The 20,191-nt window shown below is 43.3% G+C and overlaps 1 protein-coding gene across 3 annotated transcripts in view; it reads left to right on the forward strand.

The window, feature by feature from the left end:
• The window catches only part of PTPRJ (protein tyrosine phosphatase receptor type J), a 190,281-nt gene that overhangs the window by 164,338 nt on the left and 5,752 nt on the right, over positions 1–20,191 (forward strand). For 2 of the 3 annotated variants that reach the window (NM_002843.4, XM_017018085.2), the window contains exons 14-24: positions 104–228; positions 1,980–2,067; positions 4,551–4,592; positions 5,094–5,102; positions 5,200–5,287; positions 8,900–8,990; positions 10,905–10,978; positions 11,089–11,223; positions 15,034–15,153; positions 18,562–18,722; positions 19,484–19,619. In NM_002843.4, the coding sequence (NP_002834.3) occupies positions 104–228; positions 1,980–2,067; positions 4,551–4,592; positions 5,094–5,102; positions 5,200–5,287; positions 8,900–8,990; positions 10,905–10,978; positions 11,089–11,223; positions 15,034–15,153; positions 18,562–18,722; positions 19,484–19,619 (1,069 nt within the window). Of the gene's footprint in view, positions 1–103; positions 229–1,979; positions 2,068–4,550; positions 4,593–5,093; positions 5,103–5,199; positions 5,288–8,899; positions 8,991–10,904; positions 10,979–11,088; positions 11,224–15,033; positions 15,154–18,561; positions 18,723–19,483; positions 19,620–20,191 lie in introns of those variants that run through there. The other variant, XM_047427374.1, reaches the window with a different exon arrangement.

Consider the following 20,191-nt stretch of genomic DNA (forward strand, 5'->3'; position numbering starts at 1 on the left):
TGGTTCTTACTCTTTGGGGGCTGAGCCTCATGAGCATAAAGCTCTACATGCCTGCGGTCAGACACGTCTCAGGGACCTCTTTTTGCTCTTTGTTATCCCACAGGGCTTGTGTGGCTGGCTTCACCAACATTACCTTCCACCCTCAAAACAAGGGGCTCATTGATGGGGCTGAGAGCTATGTGTCCTTCAGTCGCTACTCAGATGCTGTTTCCTTGCCCCAGGATCCAGGTAGGGAGAAGACAACAGTCCTGGCACTGGTTCAGTGGCATTTTGCTCCACGTGTCCATAGAAGGCCAGCTGTGTACATGCCTCCCTCAGACCTTCAGGAGGGTTGGTGTGCCCAGCTCTCCCCTCCCAGAGGTTGAGATGTCACTGGGTCACCGGGCTTACTGGGCTTCCTCCTCCGAGGTCCCACAGCCTGGACCCCACACTCTCCCTTCTCTAAGTGCCAGTTGTTCTTCCAATCTGCAAAGATTATTGACTCCCCTTATCTATGTGTGGTCACTTGTGGGCCCATATGCCAGGTGCACAGTTTGACACATTGCATTGAATCCTTAAATAGTAGAATCAGAGGAAGCCACATAAATTGTCTTGTTCAATCCTCTGTTTATTTTTCTTCATAATTTTAATTATGTTTATTGATTTGTTTATTTTATTTTATGTTTTTTTTTTTTTTTTTTCAGACAGAGTCTTGCTCTGTCACCCAGGCTGGAGTGCAGTGGCACGATATCTGCTCACTGCAACCTCTGCCTTCTGGGTTCAAGCAATTCTTCTGCCTCAGCCTCCTGAGTAGCTGGGATTACAGGTGCCTGCTACCATGCCCAGCTAATTTTTGTATTTTTAGTGGCGACGGGGTTTTGCTCTGTTGGCCAGGCTGGTCTCGAACTCCTGACCTCAGGTGATCTGCCCACCTCGGCTTCCCAAAGTGCTGGGATTATAGGCGTGAGCCACCATGTCCAGCCTATTTATTTTATTTTTGAGACGGAGTGTTGCTCTGTTGCCCAGGAGTACAGTGGCATGATCATAGCTCACTGTAACTTTGAATTCCTGGGCTCAAGGGATCCTCCTGCCTCAGCCTCCCAGGTGGGACCACAGTTGCTTACCACCATGCCTGGCTAATTTTTTGTAGAGATGGGGTCTTGCTATGTTGCCCAGGCTGGTCCTGAACTCCTGGCCTCAAGCCTCCTTCCACCTTCTTCCAAAGCTCTGGGGTTACAGGTGTGAGCCACTGTGCTCTGCCTGCTTTTTGGAAGTGAGACTTTTAAGGCCTAGAGAGGGGAAGTAACTTGCCCAGGGTTACACGATGGCTTTAGAGGCAGGCCTGAAATTCTGGTCTTGGACCCTTGTTAAGTGCTTCTACCCTTTATCACATAGACCTAGGTGATACAGGAGCTTCAGGGATCCAAGAGGGGTGCATCCCCTACCTTCAAGCCAGAGGCTAATGGACTGGCTGGTTTGTTAGTTTGTCTGCTTTTCTTTCCTAGTTGGTGGTTGTTGGGCGCAGGAAAGAATGCCTGCCCCAGAAGCAAAGTTTAGGGAGTCCCCACATCCTTCCCCGGTAAACAAATGGGTTTCCTGTCACCTGAGCATGGATGCTGCTGTAGGTACCTCTGCTCATATGTGGGTGCTAGTCTCAAAATGTCAGAGGTGGCAGGAAAAATATCTGAAAATCCAGCCCAGTTCCCTAAATTTGCAGTTGAGGAGACAGACCTGGAGAGGAACAGTAACTTTCTCAAGACCATCCAGGTAGTAGTGGATTGGGAACAGGAACCTGGCTTCTGCATGCATAGACTAGTTTTAGGTCCAAAGCTATTTAACTCCCTTGTGTGTGTGTGCGCCTGTGTGTGTGTGTGCATGCATGTGTGTGTATGGTATACACACTTTAACTCTCTGGTGTTAGGGTCCCAGGCCAGTTTTTAGCACATTGTGTGGTCTGCATGAACACCTCTTGAAGTGTCTCCCATTTGGACTTTTCTCAGGTGTCATCTGTGGAGCGGTTTTTGGCTGTATCTTTGGTGCCCTGGTTATTGTGACTGTGGGAGGCTTCATCTTCTGGAGAAAGAAGAGGTGATATTGCTTATGCTAATAATAATACTCTGGTATTTAAGGAAGCTTTCTATTAAGGAACATTTCAAACTTTGACAGATTCAGAAGGAATGATATGATGAGCGCCATGTTCCCTTCACCCATAGTGTTCTGCATTTGGCCAGTCCTATTTCCTCTGCGCCCCCAGCTGGGCGATGTTAATGTGCTCCCAGCTGTCACATCAGGCCACTGATAGACGCCACAGTGTGGGATGCTACTTTCAAATGATATGTTCTTGTTTACAAGTCAGTTTCATAGTATTATGATGTTAAGAGATTTCATTTCAGAGGTAGCTAAGTTTGAACACCAGCTCTGTCTTTGACCAGCTGTTTAGGAAGCTTAGCCTTAATGTCCTCATCTATGATAGGAGGATAATCATTGTGCCTAACTTGTGAAGCTGAGGAGGATTGAATAAATAAGGCACTTCTCAGTGTCTTGTGCCTTGTATGCTATTACTATTATTTTATCTGTACAACTACCCTGTGAGGTCATTAAATGGTAAAAGTAGCAGCCCTGTTTTGAGTGCTCACCGTGTGCCTGCATCTGTGCTTTCTGTGAATTATCGCATGCATGAGGCTCTGCGAGGCAGGTCCAGTAAGTCCCTTCCAAGGATGCAGAAGCTGAGTCAGGAAGTGTGGAAATAGAACTTGAACCTGGTCCTTGCACTTCATGGCACGCCCTCTTGTCTGTGTAGTGTGTGAAGCCTGTGTGTGTTAGTTGGGATTTCTTTGCTGTAAGGTGCTGCCAACCAGGGAATCTCCATCCTGCCTTAGGGGTCCTCATGCGGCCCAGGCCGGTTCCTTGTGCTGCCACCCTGCCCTGTTGGAGTGACAGGCAGAGCTCATGCTCCAGCTTTTAGGTTAGGTTCTGTTTTTTTTTTTTTGAGATGGAGTCTGGCTCTGTCCCCCAGGCTGGAGTACAGTGGCATGATCTCAGCTCACTGCAACCTCTGCCTCCTGGTTCAAGTGATTCTGCTGCCTCAGCCTCTTGAGTAGCTGGGATTACAGGCACCGCCACCACACCCAGCTAATTTTTGTATTTTTAGTAGAGACGGAGTTTCACCATGTTGGCCAGGCTGGTCTCGAACTCCTGACCTCAAGGGATCTGCCCGCCTCAGCCTCCTGAAGTGTTGGGATCACAGGCGTGAGCCCCTGTGCCTGGCCAGATTAGGTTCTGATTTTGGGGGGGGAAATGGATCAGTCAGTGGCTGGATAAAACAGTTTTATTGTTTCTTGTTAAAAATAAGAGTAATACATGCTTATGGCAAAAAATATAGAAAAGAAGAGCAAAAATAAATAGGAAATCTGCAATCGCAGAACCCACACAAAACTACTCTTAACATTTTGATGTGACCAAACTCACACACAAATGTGTGCACACACATGGAATCATGTTACATGTTAGAATCAAGCCTGCTTTATTCAGCTTAGACATTGTTGGCAGCTTCATTTCATCACAATTTTTTTTTTTTTTGAGACAGAGTTTCGTTCTTGTTGTCCAGGCTGGAGTGCAATGGCGTGGTCTTGGCTCACTGCAACCTCTGCCTCCTGGGTTCAAGCGATTCTCCTGTCTCAGCCTCCCAAGTAGCTGGGATTACAGGTGCCCGCCACCATGCCTGGCTATTTTTTTTGTATTTTTAGTAGAGATGGAGTTTTGCCATGTTGGCTGGTCTTAAACTCCTGACCTCAGGTGATCCACCCGCCTCGGCCTCTTAAAGTGCTGGGATTACAGGCATCAGCCACCGTGCCTGGCTCATTTCATCATCATTTTAAGTGGCTACAGAGTATTCAACTGTATGACAGTACCATGATCTAGTTAACCAATTTCCTAGGTGTTTCCAAGTTTTTTTTCTTGGCCACAGTTACTTATCCTTGTGCCTAAATCTTTGGGCACATTCACGATTATTTCCTTAGGCTAAATTCCAAGCTAGGCAAGTGCTGGGTCAGTGGGTATGCGTGCTTTCAGTTTTGATACATACTGCCAAATTACCTTCCAGAAAGTTTTTCTTAAATACCAATGCAGAGTTGAGTCAACAGTGCAGGAGTGTGCAGATGCCTCACCAACTTGCCAGTTCCGGATCTGATATGTTTTTTGGTTTATTGCATTCATTTATCAGAAAAGCTTTCTCAAAAACAAAGTATGAAATAACAAGTCTTGCTTTACATTAAAGTAATGCCACTGCTATATATTTGCAAGGAAGTTCTTAAAAGTGACTTGGATATGATTTTTTTCATTCTTTTAGATAGTACAAAAGAAAATAACTTCACAAATTTGTAATTAGCATTTGCAGCTTGGGTCATTAAGTTTAGTATTAGGGGGCAGGATTTGGTGTCAGCTGTGAACTAATGCCTGAGGAAAAGGTGTAACACCTTTATTTCATAGATGACATCAACTCCAGATACACAAGGGAAAAGCACAGGAAGGAATCCTTTTTTGTCTAATGGGTCTCTTTTCTCTTAAAACAGGAAAGATGCAAAGAATAATGAAGTGTCCTTTTCTCAAATTAAGTAAGTCTCTCAAATTATGAGCTTTATTTTAAATCCTCCAATCTGTTCGGTGACTATCTATAAATAATTTTTGATGGAACTTGCTGTCATTTTTCCTGATTGGCACATTTTGACCATGACCATCTGGAAGTTTTTGCTAGCTCTGTTTTCTGCAAGGAATCTATGTTTTATTAGTCTCCTGAAGCTGGCTTCCTTGTCATGTTCTACTCTTCTACCAATAAATACGGATTTCTTGATTAAAAAAACGTCAAATAGGTTATCAAGATCCAGGGGAGAGAAGAACTTACTTAAAGTCACAAAACCAATTAGTTACAAAGTAGGGTCTAGAAATCAGATTTCCTGAATCATATTTTAGTGTTTTGTGAATAATAGTACTCTGACCCCCTCTTGCCAAATTATACCCTGGGTTTTGTTGTTTTGGGAAGATTGTTTACTGTCATTTCTAGAGTATGAATGAGTCTTTCTAATTGCATATTTTTTCTTTCCCTTTCTATCATGAAGACCTAAAAAGTGAGTAATCTCTTTATTTTTTTTAATAACTTGTACTTTTCTATTGAATATGGACTTCACTGAATGTAAAAAATCCTGATAAGTTTTGTTTTCTTAGATCTAAGTTAATCAGAGTGGAGAATTTTGAGGCCTACTTCAAGAAGCAGCAAGCTGACTCCAACTGTGGGTTCGCAGAGGAATACGAAGTATGTTGCTGTAAATACTGTTTTTAATTGTGTCAGGTTCCAACCCAAGCTGGGATCTGAGGGGAGTTGGTGGATGGGTGGCAGGTAGCTGAAAGAACACTCGAGGGACTGTAGGCAGTTGGGACATGGCTTTATTCTCTCTCCTACAGAGTCAGCAGTGCAGTTATATTACTCACAGACAATAGTGGCTCAAAGCCAGGTATGAACTCACACAAACAGGTTACATTAAATGGCTATATAACGCAAGGGGTTGTTGCGCTCCAAACCCTTTGCGTCATACTGTCCTGGATGTCTACCTTGGACTACTCCTGACTGAAGCACAGCCACTTTCCTTAGAAATTGGCTTGTTTTTCCTGAAAGTTAGAAAACTGTTAACAGAAACTAGGAATTCAAGTCAGGGAACTGTTAGCCACAATACTTAGGAAGCTATATGAGCTGGAAAGAAACCAAATGGGCATGTAGAGGTCTGGGGCTTGATGGCAGTGTGGCCTAGGATGGCTTGTGAGGCTCACTTCTGAAGCCCTGCACAAGGAATTTCTTGGCCAGTGTCTGCCTTTCAGTTCCCCATGCTGTGCTCCAACCAGCCCAGGAACCAGCCCTGCTCAGAGTGACCATGCACACTCGTCCTCCTGTGCTGCCCTGTCCAGCATCTCTGCCTTTGCTCTCTTGAAATCCTGCTCAGCACTCAGCACAGTGCACATGCTGCTTCCTCCATGGGCATTCTGGGATCCCATTAGGAGGACTTGAGTTCTGTGTGCTCAGACTGCCTTGTTTCCCCTGTTGCTTGTTACCAATATTCAGCATTTCTTTAATTCTGCCTTTTTGTAATGTTAGTTTTTTCTGTGTACAGTACACCTCTCCTCCAGGTTGCAACTGCTTGAAGGCAAGGGTTATCCTTTTTCCTATATTCTAACCTTTGTATTAGTTCTCTAGGCTGCCATAAAAAAGCACCACAAACTGGGAGGCTGAAAACAACAGAAATTTACTGTCTAGAGGCCACAAGTCCCAAATTAAGGTGTGGGCAGGGTCACACTCCCTTCTAAACCTCTGGGCAGCGCCCTTCCTTGCCTCCGCAGCTTCTGGGAGCCCCAGGCGTCCCTTGGTTTTGTGGCAGCAACACTCTGATGTCTGCCTCTGTGTTCACATGGCCATCTCCCCTCATGTGTCTATGTCTCTTTGTCTCTTTTCCTCCTATAAGGACACTAGTCATATGGGATTCAGGGCCCACTCTAATCTAGTATGATCTCATTTTAATTTGTTTACATTTGTAAAGAGCCTTTTTTTTTTATACTTTAAGTTCTAGGATACATGAGCACAACATGCAGGTTTGTTACATATGTGTACATGTGCCATGTTGGTGTGCTGCACCCATTAACTCATCATTTACATTAGGTATATCTCCTAATGCTATCCCTCCCCCCACCCCATGACAGGCCCCGGTGTGTGATGTTCCCCTCCCTGTGTCCAAGTGTTCTCATTGTTCAATTCCCACCTATGAGTAAGAACATGCGGTGTTTGGTTTTCTGTCCTTGCGATCGTTTGCTGAGAATGATGGTTTCCAGCTTCATCCATGTCCCTACAAAGGACCTGAACTCATCCTTTTATGGCTGCATAGTATTCCATGGTGAATGTGTGCCACATTTTTCTTAGTCCAGTCTATCATTGATGGGCATTTCGGTTGGTTCCAAGTCTTTGCTATTGTGAATAGTGCTGCAATAAACATACATGTGCATGTGTCTTTATAGCAGCATGATTTATAATCCTTTGGGTATATACCCAGTAATGGGATGGCTGGGTCAAATGGTATTTCTAGTTTCATATCCTTGAGGAATCACCACATTGTCTTCCACAATGGTTGAACTAGTTTACAGTCCCAACAACAGTGTAAAAGTGTTGCTATTTCTCCACATCCTCTCCAGCACCTGTTGTTTCCTGACTTTTTAATGATTGCCATTCTAACTGGTGTGAGATGCTATCTCATTGTGGTTTTGATTTGCATTTCTCTGATGGCCAGCGATGATGAGCATTTTTTCATGTGTCTTTTGGCTGCATAAATGTCTTCTTTTGAGAAGTGTCTGTTCATATCCTTCGCCCACTTTTTGATGGGGTTGTTTGATTTTTTCTTGTAAATTTGTTTAAGTTCTTTGTAGTTTCTGGATATTAGCCCTTTGTCAGATGGGTAGATTGCAAAAATTTTCTCCCATTCTGTAGGTTGCCTGTTCACTCTGATGGTAGTTTCTTTTGCTGTGCAGAAGCTCTTTAGTTTAATTAGATCCAATTTGTCAATTTTGTCTTTTGTTGCCATTGCTTTTGGTGTTTTAGACGTAAAGTCCTTGCCCATGCCTATGTCCTGAATAGTATTGCCTAGGTTTTCTTCTAGGGTTTTTATGGTTTTAGGTCTGACATTTAAGTCTTTAATCCATCTTGAATTAATTTTTGTCAGTTTCAGCTTTCTACATATGGCTAGCCAGTTTTCCCAGCACCATTTATTAAATTGGGAATCCTTTCCCCATTGCTTGTTTTTGTCAGGTTTGTCAAAGATCAGATGGTTGTAGATGTGTGGTATTATTTCTGAGGGCTCTGTTCTGTTCCATTGGTCTATATCTCTGTTTTGGTACCAGTGCCATGCTCTTTTGGTTACTGTAGCCTTGTAGTATAGTTTGACGTCAGCTAGCATGATGCTTCCAGCTTTGTTCTTTTGGCTTAGGATTGTCTTGGCAGTGCAGGCTTGTAAAGAGCCTATTTCTAAATAAGATCCCACTCATAGGTATTGGGGGCGAGAAATCCAACATATCTTTTTGGGGCACAGTTTAACCCATATCACCTCTACATTTCCACTTTGTTCTTTTGCTACCAAAACACCACGGGTTTGGTCTAGGTCCTGCTCCTCACCTTTACAGAAAGCCAATCACTGAGATGACAAATATTGCCGGGGAAGAAAGCTTTAATCGGGTGCTGCAGCCAAGGAGATGGGAGCTGAATCTCAAATCCATCTCGCTGACTGACTAAAACCAGGGGTTTATACAGCAGGAAAGAAATGTAACAATGTGTAAGAAAACAGGAACTAGGGGCTGGGCATGGTGGCTCACGCCTGTAATCCCAGCACTTTGGGAGGCCAAGGTGGGTGGATCACGAGGTCAGGAGATCGAGACCATCCTGGCTAACATGGTGAAACCCCGTCTCTACTAAAAATACAAAAAATTAGCCAGGCGTGGTGGTGGGCGTCTGTAGTCCCAGCTACTCGGGAGGCTGAGGCAGGAGACCGCGCCACTGCACTCCAGCCTGGGCGACAGAGCGAGACTCTGTCTCAAAAAAAAAAAAAAAAAAAAAAAAAAGAAAACAGGAAGTAGGGAGGGGCAAGGAGGCATCTGGTGCAGTGATCTGACTAGTTTCAGTTCTTTGTTACTCCCTGAAGGTCCTTTCCTGAGAAAGGAACTCAGATAAAACAAATACAAGTTTCAGGCTTTAATAGCAGAAGGGTAAATTTCTATGTTTATTCAAAAACAACTTGTCTATGGGACTGTTGGGCTGGTTTCACTGTCATATGCTATGCTAAATATGAATAATATTTGAAGACTAAATAAATGAACACCTCATTTGTTTTGTTTTCAGGATCTGAAGCTTGTTGGAATTAGTCAACCTAAATATGCAGCAGAACTGGCTGAGAATAGAGGAAAGAATCGCTATAATAATGTTCTGCCCTGTAAGTTATTTTATCTACAGCATCTTCTCTGTGTTCCATCAGTGGCCATCACATCTCTAAGTGTAGAGGGGAGGGAATCAGTGATCCTAAGTAACCACTTCCACAACCATTCATTAGTCACCTACTTCCACAACCATCCATTATTCACCTACTATGTGCTAAGCACTATATTTAGGTGCATTCTCTTAAATCCTCACAACAGCCTTATGAAGTAGGTAGTAGAATATTTGTTTTGCAGATGAGGAAAATGCACAGAGTGGTTAGGTGATCTTTCCAAGGTTACACAGGTAGTGACGGGAAAACTCGGCTTTGTACTAGGTCTGTCTGTCTCAGTAAGGGAAAAGGCCAGAGTCTGTGTTCTTAACCCCTCTGTCTCACAACTATTTATTTCAGTTCTATAATTCTGGAATGAAAGTGAGCAGAGGGAGACGGGGAGTCACACTCTCTGTGTCCAGACACATGGGCTGAGTGAATTCCACAGCTAAGTATGACTTATATTTAGCTCATTTCCTGTTTTTGAGAATTAACAATGTCTGCATCTTAGTCAACAGGATTACAGCAAATTGAGTTTAAAATAAGAATTATTTATTACATCAAACCATTAGATGAAATGTAAATAATTCTCCATTGAAAGTTCCTTGTAATCTCTCTTTTGGGTGGGGATTAGGGCACAGAGAGGAGCATAAGCAGATTGTAGCCATGTTCTGATGGAGCTGAAATTGATAGACTTTGCAGATAATTTTTACATCAGGACGTCATCATCTTTATTCGAAGCCGTGTTTTTCATTCCTGGACTAAAACATTAAGTTCTTTTTAAATTCAGCATTTTCTAGTTCTTGGGTTCTTTCTCTCCATTTATTTCCTTGTACTTGACAAGGAGTATTGGCCCATGTTCTGAGGGAAATGCTTTTAAAACTAGGCTGGGGGTATTGCCCTTGTAAGGGTAATTTGGGATTATTGGCCCCTTTTTGTGAATGTCTGTGGAGATTCTCAGATCTGGAGTGGGAGCTGGGAAGTGGGTGTTTGGGTATTGTTCTTATTGGGAAGCCTTTAGGCTGAGACTCAGGTCAGTACTAGACTTAGCATTGTTATGTTATTTTGTCCAGAGGAGGGTGAGGTAGTACAATCAGAGACGGGGAAACTGAGGTGGTGCTGCTTCTGGCTCAGCCTGACACTTGCAGTTCTAAGGTTATTATTTCATCTCTTAAGTTGGGCAAGTTTGTGTGTATGCTTTTGAGATGACAATAATATTTATAAAACATAATTCTGTGTTTTAGACCCTCCTACTCATAGTAGTCTTATACATTCAATTTATACTTGAACTTGGTACTCTGTTTTTATAACAACTTGTTTATATGAGAATAGAGGCAGAGTAGAATGGTTAACCTAGGGACCTACCCCGTCCTAGTGGAAGGGGCACTAGATTTGAATTTTGACTGCCCCTCACCAGATATATGAACTTGGAGAAGTCACTTAATCTCTGTAACCCTCAGTTTCCTCATCTGTGAAACAGGGCAGTGGCTTGTAGGGTGGTTTTGAGGAGTAAATAAAATTGTTTAGCATATTCCCTCATGGTAGACACCTGAGGATGCTAATAGTAACAGGTTCATTTTATGTGAGAAGGCATCTGGTGTGGTTAAGATCTTGGGTCCTGGTGTCAGGCTGCAGGTTCAAATCCTGGCCCTGCCACTCATTAGCTCTGCTCTGGTGATCATGTGACTTCTCTGTGCCACGGTCATATAGAGTGACCATGAGGATTAAATGAGGTGGTCTATATGAAATGCCACACTGTGCATCTTCAAAGACACAAGTCCCAGTTTTGCCATTTTGAATTTCATTTTTTTTTCTGTTTTGTGTCCAACTTTACTAAAACATTTGCTTATAATGGGGACCTTTTTTCTTTTAATGTCACAGATGATATTTCCCGTGTCAAACTTTCGGTCCAGACCCATTCAACGGATGACTACATCAATGCCAACTACATGCCTGTAAGTTGGGGGACGGTCTCACAGCACTGGACTGTTTCGATGAAATCTTCAGTGTGCTTTGCTTCTTTCTGTTTCTTTGAGGTTGACTATGTGCTGTTTCCCATTTTTAGGGCTACCACTCCAAGAAAGATTTTATTGCCACACAAGGACCTTTACCGAACACTTTGAAAGATTTTTGGCGTATGGTTTGGGAGAAAAATGTATATGCCATCATTATGTTGACTAAATGTGTTGAACAGGGAAGAGTAAGTATCTTTTTTAGTTTTTAAAATTTAAAATTACATTAATTGCTTTTTATTGTGGCAGAAGGGTATCTTAAAAACCATTTGTTTCTTTAAAAAAACTCAAACATTAGCACTTTATTCTTATAAACTTGTTTTCTGTCTTTTTTTCCCCATAAGAGAAATGTTTAAAAACATTCTTTAAACAATTCTATTTTGTCATTATCTTTTTTTTGGACAAATATCAGTGTCTTCTGTTTATTACGTTGCTGCTGGAGTTAGTAAATAGCAAAATCTCCCAGGCCTAGTGCAAGATGCTGTTCACGGTGTGGCTCTGTTCTTCATTGGCCCCATGAACACGGACAAGCCCATCATGTCTCTAAGCAACCGGTGTCTTCATCTGTGAGATGAGGGTTTTCATCAGCTCCATGATTTTCAAATTTAGGTTGAGCACTGAACCCCTCCTGCCTCCACCCCAGGGTTTTTTTTTTTTTTTTTTTTTTTTTTTTTTTTTTTTGAGACAGGGTCTCCTCTGTCAGCCAGCCTGGAGTGCAGTGGTGCGATCATGGCTCACTACAGCTTTGAATTCCTGGGCTCCCTCCCACTTCAGCCTCCTGTGTAGCTGGGACTACAGGCGTGCACCACATGCCTGGATAATTTTTTTTATTTTTAGTGGAGGCAAGGTCTCACTGTGTTGCCCAGGCTGGTGTCAAACTCCTGACCTCAAGTGATCCTGCTTCCTTGGCCTCCCAAAGTGTTGGGATTTCAGGCGTGAGCCATCACACCTGGCCTGGAACCATTTCTTTAAGCAAAATCTCAGACTTATCCCTGGATAAGCCTCAGCAGCCTCCTCTCTCCTGCAACGTCCTGAAATCCCTCTTCTGCTTCCATCAAAGATAAGATTTTTTTTTTTTAGATGGAGTCTCACTCTGTCGCCAGGCTGGAGTGCCGTGGTGTGATCTTGGCTTTTGCAACCTCCGACTCCCTGGTTCAAGCGATTCTCCTGCCTCAGCCTCCCAAGTAGCTGGGATTACAGGCAGGCGCCACCATGCCCAGCTACTTTTTGTATTTTTAGTAGAGACAGGGTTTCACTATGTTGGCCAGGATGGTCTCAATCTCCTGACCTTGTGGTCCACCTGCCTTGGCCTCCCAAAGTGCTGGATTGCAGATGTGAGCCACCGCCCCTGGCCAATATTTTTTATAGTAATAAAATTCTGCATTTCCATGAATTGATGTGAAGAGAACTGAAAAACACATGCTAATCTAAAAAAATGCTGTGCCTTAGGAATGGGACTTAATGTTGCTTTATGAGTTGTTTTTAAGTGTAGGTTCATTGCTTGAGGAATAGGATTCGATTCCTTAAGCCAGTGGATCTCAAACTTTAGCATCCATCAGCATCACCAGGAGGGTGGTTCTACCCTCAGAGTTTCTAATTCGGAATTGCGTTTCTGCCAGTTTCTGGGTGATTCTACTGCTGTGGCACCAGGGTGCACACTTGGAGTGGTACTGTCCCCAGGATAGTGGGAGCCCTTCAGGCATCATTTCTTTTATTGTTCTTTAATTCATGGTAAGCTAGCAGATGTTTATCCAGCCCCTGGTATATGTAAGATCCTGTGCTAGGGGCTGAGGATGGAGGAGGGAAAGATAACAGAGCAGTAAGAGATGACGCCCATCCTCATGTTGCTTGTGATAGAGGGTGGGCTCCTTACCCTCTTGTTGAATCAGGAGAATAGGCTGTAATAGAAATAAAAGCGTTTTTAAAATGAATGCTGATAGGCTGGGTGCAGTGGCTTACAGCTGTAATCCCAGCACTTTGGAAGGCCATGGTGGGCAGACCACCTGAGGTCAGGAGTTTGAGACCAGCCTGGCCAACATGGCGAAACCCATCTCTACTAAAAACACAAAAATTAGCCAGGCGTGGTGGTGCATGCCTGTAATCCCAGCTACTTGGGAGGCTGAGGCAGGAGAATGGCCTGAACCCAGGAGGCGGAGGTTGCAGTGAGCCAAGATTGCACCACTGCACTCCAGCCTAGGCAACAGAGCAAGACTCTGTCTCAAAACAAAACAAAACAAAAAAAGAAGAATGCAAATAAGCTTTTTAATACTGTTGAGCCCAGGGCCTTATACATGAAACATTCTTATAAATCTATCTGTTAGACAAACAAAAATGACATAATTACATTAATGGAGAACATGAAGATGAATTTAAATGGTCTTTTGTTCATCTAAAATCAAGATTGAAGTTAGTCTTAGTGACCCTGGGTGAATGGGGAAGGGAGTGTATTTTCTGCACTAGATTCTCCATATATGTTATTTTTTTTCTGTAACAACCCTGTGAGGTATTATGATTTCATAGATGAGGTAACTGAGGCTTGGGGAGTTTAAGAACTTGCCCACAAGGTAGGAACAAAAATATACCTGGTAAGAGGCTGAGCTGGGAATCAACTCCATGTCAGTGTGTATCCAGATCCTGGGTTGTTTCTTTGGAACCTGGGTCTTTAAAGAAATACAGATCCCGCAGCCAGAGTCAGAATCTCTGGAGGTAGAACCCAGGCATCTCTTTTTAAACAAAACAAGGCCAGGCACAGAGGCTCAGGCATGTAATCTCAGCACTTTGGGAGGCCAAGGTGAGAGGATCACTTGAGGCCAGGAGTTCAAGAACAGCCTGGGCAACATAGTGAGACCCCCATCTCTACAAAAATACAAAATAGCTGGGTGTGGTGGCACGTCTCTGTAGTCCAAACTCCTCTGGAAGCTGAGGTGGGAGGATCACTTGAGCCTGAGAGGTTGAGGCTGCAGTGAGCCGTGATCGTGCCATTGTACCCCAGCTTGTATGACAGAGTGAGACTGTCTCAAACAAACACACAAACAAAAAACAGAAAACAAAACCCAAAACAACTCAAACTTCTCAGGTGAGTCAGATAATCAATTAGCTTTGAAAACTACCAGCAGTAGAGCACACCTTAGAATACTGAGTGTGTGTGCGTGTGTGTGTATGTGGGGTGTGTGTGTGTGTGTGTATGTGGGGTGTGTGTGTGTGTGTGTGTGTGTGTGTGTGTGTGTGTGGTCATTTGCCAAATGGGTATTCAGATATTCTTGGAGAGCAGGTGTTTCCTGGTTATTTCTGTTCACATCTGCCCACCAACTTTATAGAAATCAAAGACCCCAGAATGATTTAATTTGATTTTCTTTATTGGTGTGTGTATTTGTATTGCAACCGATGTATATCTGAAAGCCTTGGGAAAAAGTCCTCATTTCTTCCAGCTGTCTGGGGTTATGGGAGAAGATGAGGTCAGTGAACAGTTGTGGTGGCTACTCTAGGGGCAAAGGGAGCTGGATGGGGACTGTGTCCTAGGTCAAGGGACAGCTGCTGCTCTGCTCTAAATCAATTTTCATGCTGAAAGCAGGGCCTGTTGTAGGCAGATCTGATTTTTAAAGAGAAAATAAGTCTGGATTTTTATGAGAAATTTTAAGAGTTGGCAAGAATTGTAAATTAAAAAAAGAAAAAACAATTCCAACAGGTGCTGTGGTGTGCCCATAGACCCAGCTACTTGGGAGGCTGAGGCATGAGGATTGCTTGAGTGCAGGAATTGGAGGTGGTAGTGTGCTATGATCTCATTTGTGAATAGCCACCACACTCCAGCCTGGGCAGCATAGTGAGACCCTGTCTCTATAAAATAAAATAAAAAAATTCGAAGGGTCAAACAAAACCCAACTAGAAGGTCTGATTCCATCTCTGATGCCAGTTTTCAATAGCCAGTCTCCCTTGTGAGGTTTTAGTGATGGCAGATGGCATGATCTGAGTCTTCTTATAAAAATGCAATTTTGTTCTAGACCAAATGTGAGGAGTATTGGCCCTCCAAGCAGGCTCAGGACTATGGAGACATAACTGTGGCAATGACATCAGAAATTGTTCTTCCGGAATGGACCATCAGAGATTTCACAGTGAAAAATGTAAGTAAGAAGTCAGGATCAGTTGAGCTCATGTAATTACCATATGTTAATTTGGGGGTGATATGTTTTAGGTTGATATTAACTAATATGTTTTCCTATGCAGTGAGAAATGTTTTGCTGCTTTCCTTTCAGAACAGAACAATCCATATGCATGTATACTCCAAGGCAACCCCTTGACTTTTCTGGGAAATTTACTTTCTTGGGAATAACCTAAGTTATTTCTGAATAAAATGAATCTTAAGAGCATGGCTCTACATCAGGAACTCTTTCCTTTCTTTCCACTTCCAGGTGACTTGCTCATAGATTTTACAGAACAAACTGTAGCCTTTTGGATTATTTGGTTAGAAATATGGCATCAGGAGCGGCCACTTGCTGTTAGGAGTAATTGATAACAGTTACATTAATAGGATTCCAGGGCATATGCACATGGCCTTCCTTCCCCTCAAAATTTACAAAAGCAAATCCAATTAAATTGTGCAGGCATTCTAGGAAGTCAAGTTTATGTGCTTTTTTTCTTTTTCAAGGATGCTTTGAAAATAGAGGCAGTGCCATGAAGCAGCATTGGTATCTGTTGATGGGTGTGTGCATTGGCATAACTCTCTGCTGTTTATATCACAGGCCTAAACATTAGGCATGTGCTGGCTTGAAGTCTGAGACTATCCTAAGGAAATAATCTGAAATGCAACCAAAGGCTTATTCAGAAAGACGAGTCTCAGCATTATTTATAATAGAGGAAAACTTTGGAAACCATGCAGACATGGTTTTGTAGCTTTTGTAGCTTTTGCAGAATGGATAACTTAACTATGACTCGTCTGCTTATAATATCATTATTCAGCTATTAGAAATGATGGCCCAGGTGCGGTGATTCTAACCTGTGAGGCTAAGGTGGGAGGATCGCTTGAGCTCAGGTTTGAGACCAGCTTGGGCAACATGCTGAAACTCCACCTCTACAAAAACAAAACCAAACCAAACCCAAAAATTAGCCAGGCATGCTGGTATACACCTGTAGTCCCAGCTACTTGGAAGGCTGAGGTAGGAGGATGGCTTGAGCCCAGGAGGTCGAGGCTGCAGTGAACCGAGATTGTGCCACTGCTGCACTCTAGCCTGGGTGACAAAGCAAGACCCGGTCTCAAAAAAAAAAAAAAAAAAGATAAATAAGGGATGGGTAGACTATATAATTACCATGGGGACATGGTAGGATGTAATGTAAGAGAAACATTCTAGGAGATGAAAATGTATGCATATTATGAATAGTGCATAAAAGGAAAGCCGGGAAGTATAGATTCACTGGAGTTGAATCTTGAATCTTTTGGGTGGGTTTTGGGGGTTGATGGGTTAGGGTCTAGTTTATGAGATTATCCTTGAAGATTCCACAAGTCATGGATAAAGTATAGTATATTAAGTAGTAATTCTTTACTAATTGCTGTGTCTCAAAGGGTCTGGCCTCAATATTTCAGTTCCTCCTCTGGAGATGCCATCAAAGCTGTTACCATGATCTGGCCACCTAAATAATGCAGCTCACAGTAGTAGAAAAATGTCATGCTTATTTCTTTTCTTTTCTTTTCTTTTTTTTCTTTTTTTGAGATGGAGTCTCTCTCTGTCATCCAGGCTGGAGTGCAGTAGCACAATCTCAGCTCACTGCAACCTCTGCCTCTCGGGTCCAAGTGATTCTCCTGCCTCAGCCTCCTGAGTAGCTGGGACTACAGGCACCTGCCACCATGCCCAGCTAATTTTTTTTGTATTTTTAATAGAGATGGGGTGTCACCATATTGGCCAGGCTGGTCTTGAACACCTGACCTTGTGATCCACCTGCTCGGCCTCCAAAAGTGTTAGGATTACAGGTGGGAGTCACTGTGCCCGGCCTGTCATGCTTATTTCTATAGATTTTGCTCATTTGAACTGACTGGCTTCTCCTTGGTTGCCTCCACTGCTTGGGGCTTACCTTGTGGAGGGGAATTTAGGATGGAGTTGTCCACATCATTTTTAAAAATTGCTGTTACTATGATTATTATTTTTTATTAACTAAACTCCAGACTTTATTCAGATTTCATGTTTTTCCACTAAAGCCTTGTTTTGTTCCTGGCTCTGATCCAGGACACCACATGGCATTTAGTACCATGTTATTTTTTAATTATACAAAATGCCTGAATACATTTTCCTTTAGAAAATCGAGAAATTACAAACAGAGCTAAAGATTTCCTTTGACTACCACCCCTAACCTGAGCCCCTTTGCCCCTCCACGAAGATAATACTAAGTATAACCCTCCTCACTTCTCCCTCTTCCTCTCCCCCTCCTTCTCCCCTTGCCCGCTCCCACTCCCTTTCCTCTCCCTCCTCCCTCTCCCTCCTCCCTCTCCCTCCCTTTTTCTTCCTCTTCCCCCACCTCCATCTCTCACAGCTGGTTTCTGTCTTTGGATCAGTACTTCTGGTTAAATGTGTGAATGTTAACTTTATCTGTGATGAGGTCTTCTAGCACCTCTCCCTTCACTCTGTCTGTTTTTCCTGTTTTCCAAATTTTGAATACTGCACATTCTTATCATGAATATACATTTCAAAAAATGAGTGTCAAAGGGCAGCTGTCATAATGGAGATGGAAATGCCTGCAGTGCAGATGTAGGTCACATGGGTACGGATGTAGGTCACATGGGTATGGTCATTCCCTGGTATGGGCATAACGAGTACAGCTGAGTCAGGGACAGGACTCGCCCCAGCTGGGGTGGGCTTCTGGTGCTTCAAGGTATATGCTTTGGTATGAGGTAGGGAACCAGTCTGTGTAATAATGAGCTCTATTGTCTTTCAGATGTTGAAATGGATGGTTTTTTGGGGGAGTCCTTTCTCAGCTCTCTCCAATTCTAAATATTTGCATGGTGCTTGCTAGTGGCCTGTCACTTTATTCACTTCTCTAGGGGACATAGTGAATTATGAGGCCATTCTTGCCTAGAAGGCACTGATTATCATGGTGTATTTGAGTAAATTATTTTTGGTTTTATTGTCAGTGACATTCCCAGGGGGGCTCGGGGATGGGGCTCATGCAGCTCTAAGGAGGTGCAGGTGTAAGAATGTGAGTTCATTATTGATAGGCAGCTGTGGCAGGAAGGGAAGGATCTGAATGCAGAATTGGAGGATGAGGGACTTCTGTTGCATCTGAAATCAGTGTTGGGGAAATGACTTCACTTCTGTGAATCTCTGCTGCCTCATCTTTAAAGGGGGATAATAAACTCTCCTTCTTGAGCATATTGTGAGGGTTTGATGAGCAAGCACTTTATCAGCTGCTGTGCAAATGTAAAGTTTAATTTTTAGTCATTACAACTCCTGGTTAGTACTCAGGCTCTGCTTGATTTCCCCTGCCTTTTTGATGTTGTTAGGCAGCCTTTCTGTCTGGATCTAAATCATTTTCTGGGCTTTTAGATCCAGACAAGTGAGAGTCACCCTCTGAGACAGTTCCATTTCACCTCCTGGCCAGACCACGGTGTTCCCGACACCACTGACCTGCTCATCAACTTCCGGTACCTCGTTCGTGACTACATGAAGCAGAGTCCTCCCGAATCGCCGATTCTGGTGCATTGCAGGTACGCAGATGGCACGTCACGTGTGACAGATTTCAAATGTCATTATATATTTATGAGCACTTTACAAAAGCAAAGCCTAAGAGGGAATGTAATAGGCATTTATGAATTCAGGAAAGGTTTGGATAAGGAACCATGGACTTACTCCCTAAGCCCTGAGCTTCCAAAACAGGGGTTGGCAAACTGTAACCCATGGATCAAATCTGGTCAGCTGCTGTTTTTGTAAATAACATTTTCTAGGAACACAGCATGCCCATTTATTTATATATTGTTTATGGTTGCTTTTCTGCTACAGTGACAGAAAGAGACCATATGGTTTGCAAAGCTTAAGATGTTAACTATCTGGCCCTTTACTGAAAAAGTTTGCCAACCCCTAACAATAAGAAGTTAGCTTTGAAGCTAAAGGAATTAATTTAGGACAGAAGACAGGAGGGGCTCTGTTGCCCAGTGGGGAAAAAATGGCTAAAATGTGCCGCCATCCTGGGTTATGGGCAACTTGAATGGAACTGAGATTGAAGAAGCTTGAGCAAAGGGTTATATGTGTGGCATCTGACTCAAATGTGAGTTTGGGACTTAGGCCCCAGTCCCAAGCTAGTGCTGTCTGACTTGCTGAGGCTTCAACTGAGCAAATGTGTACTGATCCTGTGCATTGCCCTCAAAGTGTGACAGTGAAGGAAAGCAAGATATATGTACAAATGAGGAACTCTAAGAGGGTTGCAGTCGAGGGAACCCACTGTAATAGGCTTATTTCTCTTTTCTCTCAGTGCTGGGGTCGGAAGGACGGGCACTTTCATTGCCATTGATCGTCTCATCTACCAGATAGAGAATGAGAACACCGTGGATGTGTATGGGATTGTGTATGACCTTCGAATGCATAGGCCTTTAATGGTGCAGACAGAGGTGAGGCCAAGATCTGTATTTGACATTCCACCCTTCCCCTCCATTTTTTTTTTTTTTTTTTTTTTTTTTGAGACGGAGTCTTGCTCTGTCGCCCAGGCTGGAGTGCAGTGGCATGATCTTGGCTCACTGCAACCTCTGCCTCCTGGGTTCAAGTGATTCTCCTGCCTCTGCCTCCCAAGTAGCTGGGATTACAGGCACGCACACCATGCCCAGCTAATTTTTGTAATTTTAGTAGAGACGGTGTTTCTCCATGTTGGCCAGGCTGGTCTCGAACTCCTGACCTCAAGTGATCTGCCTGCCTCAGTGTCCCGAAGTGCTGGGATTACAGGCATGAGCCACTTTGCCTGGCCCTTCCCCTCCATTTTTAAAAGGTTGCATTGTGTCATGCACTTGTGTTAAAATATGTCACCCTTCCAGATCTTTCCAGCTCTTGGCTGTGAACTAACACTGGATTTCTTTGCAGACTTTAAGCTGACTTGGAATTAAATTACCCAATACAAGTGACATAGTAGTACTGATGTCAGTAATGGAACTACTACTGAGATAGTGTCAGGATTCTTTACCTTGCTGCC

The sequence above is a fragment of the Homo sapiens genome, chromosome 11, assembly GCF_000001405.40.
Source record: "Homo sapiens chromosome 11, GRCh38.p14 Primary Assembly".
Taxonomy (NCBI): Eukaryota; Metazoa; Chordata; class Mammalia; order Primates; family Hominidae; genus Homo; species Homo sapiens.